This window comes from Homo sapiens, chromosome 2, assembly GCF_000001405.40.
Source record: "Homo sapiens chromosome 2, GRCh38.p14 Primary Assembly".
Classification (NCBI taxonomy): Eukaryota; Metazoa; Chordata; class Mammalia; order Primates; family Hominidae; genus Homo; species Homo sapiens.
In genome coordinates, this window is record NC_000002.12 from 239810493 (window position 1) to 239822040 (window position 11548).

The 11548-nt window shown below is 54.9% G+C and overlaps 2 annotated features.

Moving 5' to 3' along the window:
* Window positions 7513–8099: an enhancer, noted in NCBI's record as "H3K27ac-H3K4me1 hESC enhancer chr2:240739699-240740285 (GRCh37/hg19 assembly coordinates)". NCBI's record gives its function as "activates a minimal SCP1, AML or CMV promoter by ChIP-STARR-seq in naive and primed H9 embryonic stem cells {active_cell/tissue: H9 hESC(naive and primed)}" and the evidence as "EXISTENCE:reporter gene assay evidence [ECO:0000049][PMID:30033119]".
* Window positions 8817–9317: an enhancer, noted in NCBI's record as "H3K4me1 hESC enhancer chr2:240741003-240741503 (GRCh37/hg19 assembly coordinates)". NCBI's record gives its function as "activates a minimal SCP1, AML or CMV promoter by ChIP-STARR-seq in naive H9 embryonic stem cells {active_cell/tissue: H9 hESC(naive)}" and the evidence as "EXISTENCE:reporter gene assay evidence [ECO:0000049][PMID:30033119]".

Below are 11548 nucleotides of genomic sequence, written 5' to 3' on the forward strand. Positions count from 1 at the left end.
TTCCCGGAGAGGGGCCTGTGGAGTCACGTTCTGGCAGCACCGTCCTAGTCTTGATGAGACTGCCACTCTCCTGCCTCCTGTCTCCCATGCTTCTCACCCCTTCGAGTCGGCTCCCTTTCTTCTCTCTTCTCTCCATCCCATTAGAACCCTTGGCTCCATTGAGAGGTGCTCTCACTAAAGGACTCCTGCTGTTGACTTGAGGGTGGCCCTGGGGCCAGGCTGACCCCTCCATCCCATGGGGCAGGGAGTCATCAGAACGTCGGTCCTGGTCCCAGCTCTAGCTCCAAGTGGGAGCAGATTCCTGCTGGGCCGCCTGCTCCACGGTCTCCCAGCCTGTGCTTGTAGGGCTCCCAGGTGGGACCCTCTTACTGATCTCTCAGGGAGCTGCAACCATCCAGGGAACCACACGCCTAGAAAGACCCCATAAAGCCTCGTGCAAATGCATAACGAATTTCAAAGTCCGGCAATTAGTGGGTTCACGACAGAAGCTCCCTTCAGGTGCTAAAAGGGTAACTGTAGGCTCAGTCTGTGTCCCAGGAAGACACCCTCAGCTCAATGCCATTTAGGAGAAGAACTCTAGCCAGTCCCCTCATGACCCACCTCTTGTCAACAAAGACAGGAGCTTCTCAGCAGAGGGTGGGTCTGCACTTCCTCAGCTCCCCAAGTCCCAGGAGCTGAGCTGGGCTCAGAAGGAATGAAAGCACAGTTCCAGCTTGGCCAGGACAGGGGCTACATCTCTCAGCTCCCCTCTAAGCCCGAGAGGCCCCCTTGGAGCTCTTCTGAGGGCCTCTGAGCAGACAGCAGGGCTCATCTCTGTGGAGGTCCATGTAGGAACCTCGAGTGGAAATGGCCGTGAGGTTGTAAATAGGGCCAGAGGAGTCTGCTCAGAGCCTTCAGCTAAGCGGAGTTGGCATCCATCGCCACTTTGAACAGGAATCAAGGAATTTCTGACGTTAGGAAAAAGTGAAATGGCTTTAGAATTTGGAAACGCAGAGGCTTTTCTCAGATCTGCTGGCAGTGATACAATAATCTGGTCAGAAGTGAACTATTAACGGACATTCTCGTTAAGCAGAGAGGAATTTCCATGTCACAGTAGAGGCACCTTCTCCCTGCCCCGTGCTGCCTTGGGTTCCAAGCGTTCAATCCCTTCTGTTCCAATGGTCTAATCTTGGCTTTCATCCCTACACCACCCTGCAACTAGAACACACCCGGCTTAGGGAGGGGGTTCATAGGCACTGCCTGCAAGGAGGAACAATCGTCCTCCTGCCCCACCTGGGACAGTCCACGTGCTCCTCAGCCTCGTTTTTCCACAGAGAGAAATACTGAGCTAGACAGAGCTGTGTATGGCTCTGCTGACCAATGAGCAATGTACTTTGGTCTGCACTGAGCCTGGCCTTTCTATAAAATTAAGGGGCCAGAGTGGATGAGGTCAGGAGAGCAGAGTGAGTGCGAACGCTTCGCCTTTTGTGTTATGCCTTTGTACCTCCTTTCACGAGGACACCAACAGCAAGTTCCTGTATGACACACCTTCTCGGATGATGGCTGCAGGTCTGTCCCGTCACGGCACACACGCGGGAATCTGTAGCTGCCCCAATCCTAAAGTGTCCCGTGTTCGAGGACAGTCAGGGGCCCTTGTTATTTTCCATGTTTTGTTTCCTTGCACTCTTTTTTTTTTTTTAATCCTAGCAGCAACTTCCAAATGTGCTGCCATGAAAAGCCCTGCTCCTGCCTTTGAGCTGTGTCTAATCTACTGTGCTTCAGGAGAGCAGGTGAGCAGATGTGTGTACTTTGTGTGTGGAGCAGAAGGAGTGGGCTTCCAGGGAGGGTCTTCAGGGCTGGCCTTCCCAGTCACATGCGGAAGTGTAGTGCGTGGGGAACCCTTTGCTTTTGCATCTTGGTTCTCGGCGGTGCTCATAGGAAAAGGTACTCCAGCGTGGCCACCTGTTTCTGTCCTGTTGTTATCAGCGCCCTTGTCTAGAGTAATGACAGACATCCACGAATGTCACTTCTGGAAATGACCCTGAAAACCAGGCCAAACTCCGTCCCAAACACACAGACGCAGTCACACACACACCACTCAAAATTCCAAAATCAATGACACACCAAAATATATGTTACAATGGTTCTTTTGAGTGCATCGCCATGTTCTAGCCCCTTTTGCACTCCCAAGAAACCCCGAAAATAAGGCCCACAGGCCACCAGGGACAATTCTTTTTTTTTATTTGAGACGGAGTCTCGCTCTGTCATCCAGGCTGGAGTGCAGTGGCGTGATCTCGGCTCACTGCAAACTCCTTCTTCCGGGTTCACACCATTCTCCTGCCTCAGCCTCCTGAGCAGCTGGGACTACGGGCGCCTGCCACCACGCCTGGCTAATTTTTTGTAGTTTTAGTAGAGACGGGGTTTCACCATGTTAGCCAGGATGGTCTCGATCTCCTGACCTTGTGATCTGACCCCGTCGGCCTCCCAAAGTGCTGGGATTACAGGCGGGAGCCACCCTGCCCAGCTCACTGGGGAAACGTCTACTGGAGGAACGTCAACCTTAGCTTTGGACATCTTGGTCACGTTTGCGCCCCACGCCCTGGCTACCCATTCTCCTGCCATGTCCATCCTTGACTGTCCAAACACGAGCTCCCCATTTTCCAGCTAAGGAGATGGAGGCAGAGAAATGTTAAGAGAAAATTGCAAACAATTGTCAACAACTTTCTGAATGAATGTGAAGGACTCTGAATTGTTAAAACTGCCTGGGCCTGGCCTTGCTACATTGTCTCCAGGCCGTCCAGGGCCCGGGGCCACCGTCACTGCTGCATGCTCAGGCATATCTCAAGGGAAGGCCGGGCTGCCCAGAGCCCCTGCTGAGGCCAACACATCATCCCCACAGGCCCGGGTGACGGGTGCCTTCAGCTGCTGGAGGAGCCCTGCCATTCCCAGGAGGAGGGCGTCAGATCTGCCGCCGGCACACGCAGAGCACCCTTCCCAGGCACTGATGGCACCTGCTTTCCGAGTGCCTCTCTGAACCTGTGCCCCTGAGGGAGCCCTTTAAACACAGCCTCTCCCACACTCCCCACCCCTGTCCACGGTCCTGCACGCGCCACTCAGACTTGGCCTGAAGTCCCTTTCTCATAGGCTTTCCCTGGCCAACTTTTTTTTTTTTTTTTTTTTGAGACTGAGTCTCACTCTGTGGCCAGGCTGGAGTGCAGTGATGCAATCTCAGCTCACTGTAAGCTCCGCCTCCTGGGTTCAAGAGATTCTCCTGTCTCAGGCTCCCAAGTAGCTGGGATTACAGGTGCCTGCCACCACGCCTGGCTAATTTTTGTGTTTTTAGTAGAGATGGGGTTTCACCATATCGGCCAGGCTGGTCTCGAACTCCTGACCTTGTGATCCGTCCGCCTCAGCGTCCCAAAGGGCTGGGATTACAGGCGTGAGCCACCAGGACTGGCCCTTGGCCAATTTTTTAAACAGTCATCTCTCCCCTGCTGCCCCTTCCCAGGTTGGCTTCCTTCCTGGCACAGCCGTTCCTGGAATTCAGTATTAATCGTTCACTTGTTTCCACATTCCCACATACTTCCTCCATTTTTAAAGCGGGCATGCTGAGGCCCAGAGCATTTTAAACAGCCCGGCACGAATGCAGAGGCCTCTGATTCACCCCCATTTCCCATCCTTTTCCCCACGCTGCCTCGCTGTGAGGCAGTGCTCTGTTTGGAGACTCCTAGGCTAAACCTGGAGCACAGGCCTTCTCGTCTGACCTCACTGTTATCTCCCTCTCTCAGGCAAGAGGCTGCCCGCCCGGCCTGGACCCCCGCCACCCTGCCCCCGTGTCTCAGCAGTTCTTCTGTCTTTCTGGCCCTGCCTGAGCAGTTGATGGTGACAGGGGAAGGCCCAGTCAGGTTTGCTCCCCACTGGGACCAGTGCCCCGTCCACGAGAGCCCTTGTCTGGCCACCGGGGAGAGATGGCTGCCTTCCCTGCTGGCCATCACAACCCAGCTCCTGTGTGGAAACGTGTTCCACAAAGGCTGAGAGAGTCTTGCTGCTTATTTTCCCCTGTAGTGCCTCTGAAGTGTCATTACTCTTACACTTGTTTACACAAGGCACCTCTCTCAGACGTGCCAGTCAGGGTTGTTGAGGGGGCTCTGGCCATTTTCAGACCATGAAGGGCCCTGAAATCCAAGCTGATCCTCACCAATGAGAACTGTAAAGGCCTAAGATCGCAGCAGAAAGAGAACATTTGGCAAGCCAGTGTTAAAATTCTCAAAACAAACTTACGTATTAGTTAATGCAGCCTGTCACCATAACGACTAAACAGCACAAAAACAAACCATGAGCACACAGATTTATTACTGTGCAAGGTTTAGCTGATATCATTCCAGAGGTATATTTTCCACTTTCAGTTATAATAAAACAATCTTTTTAAACTAATTTAAAATTCAGCACGAGAGCACGATCAGGCGCACATCTCCACACACACAAGCTGAGGCCACAAGTGCATGAAGCCCGCATGTCTGCCTGCGGCTCCGTGACGTGGACCCAATGCCGTCATCCATGCACACACAGGCTCGCGGGAGGCAGAATCACAGGCACGGGCTGCGGCTCAGCCTGGCAGGCAGAAGGCTTTCAAGGAGCCCTGTCAGGGGTCAGCTCAGGTGCGTGGTGGGCTCAGGTGTGTCCGCTACACAAGCGTGTCCGCTGCACAGTCGTGTCCACTGCAGCTGGCCTCCCTCCTGGCATGGGAGGTGCTGGTTGTGGCCAACAGTCTTGGCTTTAAATCAAGTCTTAGACTGGAAGCTACCATGAGCAAACACCACCACCTTTCTGAATCTCAGCTTTGTCATCTATAAAATCAGGAAGACAATAGAATCCACATACATCTGGAGTGCCTCATGGCCCTCCAGAAAATAACAGCTCTGGAATGGTGTGAGGCAAACCTTGCACTGTAATACAGTCGTGTGCTAATGGTTGGTTTTGTGCTGTCTGAACACTGCCTTTCCTTACAACACAGACAGACAACCCCCACCATGGCAACATCCAAAGAGCTGAGTATTTACTACTCCCCAGAGGGGTGCCAATTGGGGGCTGCGCTCCCAAATCAAAACAACTTCTTCCTTTCCATTATCTGGATCAGGGGAGACATTTATTTTCTGTGAAGAGGCAGACAGGAAACACTTTAGGCTTTCTGGGCAACACAGCGTCGGTGGGACAACTCACCTCACTGATTCCAGGGCAGTGGGAAAGCAGTCACAGACAACATACAAATGGTGGGAGGACTGTGTGCCAATAAAACTTTATTTTAAAAAGTCAGCCAGATTCAGCCCCAGGTGATCCTCTGCCAACCCCTGATCTGGATCACACAATAACAACCAGAGAGGGCGCAGGGAGCACACAGAGGGAGGACTGGACGCGTGCATGTTTACATTCTCGAGGGGGGACTGGGACATGTGCATGTTTGCATTCTCGAGGGGGGACTGGGACATGCATGTTTACATTCTCGAGGGGGAACTGGGATGCGTGCATGTTTACATTCTCGAGAGGGAACTGGGACGTGTGCATGTTTACATTCTCGAGGGGGGACTGGGACATGCATGTTTACATTCTCGAGAGGGAACTGGGACGTGTGCATGTTTACATTCTCGAGGGAGGAACTGGGATGCGTGCATGTTTGCATTCTCGAGGGGGAACTGGGACACGTGCATGTTTACATTCTCGAGGGGGGACTGGGATGCATTTATGTTTGCATTCTTGAGAGAGAACTGGGACGCATGCATGTTTACATTCTCGAGGGAGGAACTGGGACATGTGCATGTTTGCATTTTTGAGGGAGGAACTGGGACGCATGCATGTTTGCATTCTCGAGGGAGGAACTGGGACGCGTGCATGTTTGCATTCTCGAGGGAGGAACTGGGACGCGTGCATGTTTGCATTCTCGAGGGAGGAACTGGGACGCGTGCATGTTTGCATTCTCGAGGGAGGAACTGGGACGCGTGCATGTTTGCATTCTCGAGGGAGGAACTGGGACGCGTGCATGTTTGCATTCTCGAGGGAGGAACTGGGACGCGTGCATGTTTGCATTCTCGAGGGAGGACTGGGATGCATTTATGTTTGCATTCTTGAGAGAGAACTGGGACGTGTGCATGTTTACATTCTTGTGGGGGGACTGAGACATGTGCATGTTTGCATTCTCGAGGCACCTAGTGCATGAGACTTGTCTTGCCTGAGGCCTGGGAGGACTACCGAGACCACCTCTGAGGAAGTGCTTCATGATGAAATGGAGATGCACACATGTCATGCACCATTAATATTAGCAGCAAAACTCGGGCTACCCCCACAGAGAGAGATTGCATATCCTAGCAGCAATGTGACAGATGATAAGCAGACAGAGATGCTGCACCCAACATCCCTTAGAGGTGATAAGGCCTCCATTTGCCACATTAAACAACTTGTCACATTGAACTGAAGACACCAAGAGGGCCGGCTTCAGGGACATGAGAACGGGCACGATCAGAACCTTCCGCAGGAGTCCAGGCAACTTTCCCAGGGCCTGCCTCTGTGCCCACTGATGCCAGGACCACACACGGGCTCTCTGCACTCCCATGGCTTCTCCCCGGTTTCTGAAGGTCCCTTGGTGACCAGCACCACTGACCAACGAGGATATCTAATCTACTAAAGCCGTGTGTTCAGGAGCCCTGCCGTCCCACTAATGTGGATATGATGCGATTGGTGACTGGCTTAAGCTTTTATGCTAGGTAAAGAGGTGGGTGAGGCCAGACATTGAGAAGGGTCAGCCCTGTCCTGGGGAGTGGAGAGGCCCAAGGGGGCCTTGGATCTCCAGAGCTGTCTCACAGCAAGCCCCAGATCTGGCTGGTGAGAAGTGGAGTCAGTGCACTCAGGGGTGTCTGCCATCCACATCGCCAGCATGGGGTCCAGGCCATGTGGGACTCGTCATCCCAGGGACATCTAAGCCCCCGTGGCTGGTCACCACCAGCTGGTGCCCGAGGTGGCTGAGCTGATGGACTCAGGATCAGAGAGCTTCATAGGCTTGTCCTGGTCTTTTTCTTCCCCTTTGTGGTATTTTTCTCATCACTAGGTAGGTACTATGCTGCATTTCCTGTTCTAAACCCTTGAGTGGGGTGTTTCCTCATCCTGACCACTGTACTAGATGCCAACCAGCCCAGGTCCCTCTTAAGGGAAACTCCAAGCTTCTGCCCACGGTTCTGTCCCTGCCCTCCTGGGATCCCAGCCCTGGCTATTAGCCTGGACCTCATCTGATCATTCACCGGCATGCTGACCTGAGCCCCATCTGATCACTGTCTGGCATGCTGACCTGGGCCCCATCTGATCACTGTCCGGCATGCTGACCTGAGCCCCATCTGATCACTGTCCGGCATGCTGACCTGGGCCCCATCTGATCACTGTCCGGCATGCTGACCTGGGCCCCATCTGATCACTGTCCGGCATGCTGACCTGAGCCCCATCTGATCACTGTCTGGCATGCTGACCTGAGCCCCATCTGATCACTGTCCGGCATGCTGACCTGGGCCCCATCTGATCACTGTCCGGCATGCTGACCTGAGCCCCATCTGATCACTGTCCGGCATGCTGACCTGAGCCCCATCTGATCACTGTCCGGCATGCTGACCTGAGCCCCATCTGATCACTGTCTGGCATGCTGATCTGGGCCCCATCTGATGACTGTCTGGCATGCTGACCTGAGCCCCATCTGATCATTGGCCAGCACGCTAACCTGGGCCCCATCTGATCATTGACTGGCACGCTGACCTGGACCTCATCTATCATTCACCAGCACACTGACCTGAACCCTAAATCCCTCGGGCCCTTGACCTCTCATCACATCCCTCCTGCCAGGACCCAGCCCAGAGAGCATCTGGCCATCTGATTTCTCTTTTACTCCTGGTTGGCTAAATGAAGCTAATGAAAAAGTCACATAAATGGCACCAAAGCAAAAGCATGATGTCCAGCCTTGCTGGCCCCTCCTAGCCCGAGGCCCCAGCCCTGTCCGCTCAGGGGTGCTCTGGCCTGCTGCAGCGAACATGAAAACATGGAACCTGCCTAAGGGGTGAAAGCTCCTTCTCTTCCCTTCCCGTCCTGTCCCGCCTCAGACCAAGCACCGGCCTCTGCCTCCTGTATCCAGGGCCTTTCTCTACCCACCCGGCATCTGCTGCCCACTGTTGGGTCTTGGCCTCCCTCCTACAGCTTCCCCCAGCCCTCAGGCACCTTCACAACCATCCAGGGCAGCTGGGCTCCTCGCAGGATGCCCACACTGCCCATCCAGGGCAGGCAAGCTGGGCCCCCCATGGGAAGAGCAGGGAGCTCCTGGCTTTGCCCTGGATCCTGGGAAGTGTTGCTACGATCATGGCCCACACAAAGCTCCATTGTTCCCCCAAACAGTAGCAATCAGAGTTCAGGCCAAGTTGGACGTGTAACAGAGGGCACCCATGCTGCAGAGATCTCCATAGATCCTTTCTCCGTTCCCCACCAAGCCACACTCTCGCTGTCCCTCCAACCCCACCAGTTCCTCCTCCCCATCCTTGATTCCCTTCAGGACTAACCCTGGGGGTTCTGCCCGGCTGGGCTCCTCCCCTGTGGCAGGAACCCCAGGCTCAGTCTAGGGGAGCTGCCCCTTCTCAGAGGTGGAGGCTTTTCTGGCACGTCACTCAGCGGATGCATCTGTGGGAAGGGCCAGTCCTTTGCCTCCGCCACCTTGAGACGTGGCCCTGGCTCCTCTGGAGATGACGATTCAATCAGAAAAAGTACTTCAGCTCCAGTAAGGTGCTGGGATCGGCTCAGGGGGCCCCATGGGTCCTCAAATCCCAGCGAGGGCATGCTCTGCAAGCTGATGACACACCCTGCACTGACCACAGTATCCGGCACATGGTATAAGTCATGAACCCTGGCCAAGGAGGCATCAAACAGCACAGAACACGGTGAGCAGTCAGTGCTTCCTTCCAGCACCTCCAGGAAGGACAGCCCAGGCCTCCAGAAACGTGTGTGCGGCCTTGAGATGGGAGAGCACTGAGGGGACCTCGGGGGAGGCCCGGCAGAGGACACAGCTGCCTGCAGGAAGGCCTTAAAGCTCAGAAGGTCACCCGAGAGGGGCTGTGACTTTCCCATAAGGGAACAAGTGTCCAGCGGGGTGGGTGATGCTGTCACCTCCCAGTCACAGCTCTCCAGGACATTCCAGAATTGACAACCAGTGCACCCTACAGTCTGTATCCAGCAGACATCAGCCCACCCCTGCCCAGGGCCATCGGCTGCCATAAATGGGGCCTCTGTCTTGAATATGTGGGTTCCTGGGTCACCCAGCATTGTGTAAGGAAGGTGTCTCTCAAGATGAGGAGTGGAGGGGGCACAGCTGCTTCTGTGGCTGGACTCTGGTCTTGCACACCAAGGCTCTGTTTCTTCATCTGCAAACAAGGACAATTTGCCCTGAGCCCCTTCCATGTTGGCTGGTGAAGCCACCGCCCAGGTCTGGTGGGAGTCCCCAGGGAGGGAGTGGTCCTTCAGCAGTGCCAGGCAGGGGTGCCCAGGGTCTGCAGGGGCAAAGGGGTGGAATTCAGAGTCCAAGAGACAGATGTGCTTGGAGGAGAGGGGGCCGTCTTCCAGGAACCTGGAGGGAAAGGAGGAGAGGCTCTGTCTGGGGACAGTGGCCGAGTGTCAGAGCCTCTTTTTGAACCTCAGAAACAGGTTGTTTAAAGAACTTCTCCCTCGAGTTCCACTCCAGAAAGTAGCAGCAGGAACACGATCCAATCAGCAGCAGCATCAAACCGCCTGTGTGAAGTCATCCATGCAGCCGCCCACACACGTCCTCTGCCTTATCTGGTATCTGATGATTTTTCTGGAGAGGAGCCATGTCAAAGCTGGGATGCCTGGCGCTCCTGGCCCAAGGATCGGGACAGTGCCCTCTCCCTTCCTCTCATCCCCACGCAGGTGCCCGTCCAGCTCGCACTGATCTGTGCGTATCCGTGCTGCAAGTGCTTGGGCCTTTGCTGGCACCTCCGTTCCTGTGGCCTCAGCCCCTTCTCCCCGTGCTTCGATTTGGGCACTTTGCCCTTCCTCTCAATTTAGCGGGGGTATCACCTCTCCTGGGAAGCCCCCCATGGCATTTCCAGTCCAGTTTCATGACTGCACCTTTGGAAATCTCTGTCCCCTGTGTTGAAATGACCCACATCCTTGTTTTCTAGATCATTTATGCCTTGAGAGTAGGAACTCAGGGGCTTCAGCTCTCTGCCACCAGCACTGAGCACACAGTGGGCATTTGATCCTGGCCATGACAGAAGAGGGAAAATCAGACCCACCTCCCAGGGAATCAGGAGCAGGTGGCCAAAATCAGAGAGATGGATGCTGGGAGGTCATCCAGACAAACAGCCTCAGTGTCAGGCAGGGCTTCCAAGGACAGATGGGTGGATTCTGCTGTGATCCCAAGAAAGAGGAGAGGGGGAGGAAGCAGAGGTCTGATGGCGTCACCTTAGAAAGGCCACGTGGGGGCAAGGGCGGGGCGGAGAGTTCCCAGGCAGAGATTGGAGGGAAGGCAAGACAGGGGTCATCCCAGCCAAGGCCAGGACACCGCTGGGGCCAGAGCTGCTTCGGATGAGGGCAAGGGAAGCCAAGGACAGTTGTGACACTTTGTGACCACCATCATTAACTTCAGGCGGTGACTCTGACAGCACAGACAGGCACAATAGCATGCTGTGCTCAGGAGGAAGAAAACACGCAGGGACCCAGGAAAAATAAGTGATTCCACTGTAACGCACTGGGAGGGAGCCTGCCAGCTTCTATGTGAAACAGTCCTCAGCACCACATCACCCAGCTGTCACAGGGCCAGGCTGTTATCACCCCGTGCAGAAGGGAAGGACATGGCGCCTGCTCTCAGAGCTGGTGAGCTGCAGGGCTGCTGTGTGGATCTGTGCCTTTGACACTGAAGCCCAAGTGCTTCTCCAGAGGAGTGGACACTGGGCCCAAGGAGGCAGCACGGATCTGCCCAGCCCCGGCTTTCTGCCATCCACCAGCACAGGAGTGTCTGTGGAGTAGTCCTGGAGCTCTGGCCATCTGACGCCTCCACGTCTAGAATATACCAGGTCATATTCAAACAGCAGGCTTCCCAGCCAGCTGGAGCAGATGGACCCACCGCTTTCTGCCTCCCCAACTTTCCCAAGGTCAAGAAACATCCCACACTGCTCCATTTCACCCCTCATGAACCTGCAGCCTAATGGGAGCATCAGCCCCAGGCAGGAGCAGGTAAGACCGAGGCTAAGACCACGGGACTCCAGGACAAAGAGAAGATACTGGAATTGGGCTCCTTCCTGGGCAAGGAAGGGCCCTACCTCAGGAGAACAGCTGGGGTCTAAGCTGGCAATGGGAAAGGGGGGCTCTGGCTGGAAGGCAGAGGGCTGAGAGCAGAGGCAGAAAAGCCACCATGCTGGTAGGGAAGGGGTGGCTCAGGAAGACAAGGATCCCTGCAGGTGGCAGGCCCAGGAGAGTGCAAGAGGACAGCAGTCACACGGCACAGGGAGGAGGCAGGACAACAGATCTCAGGGCTTTG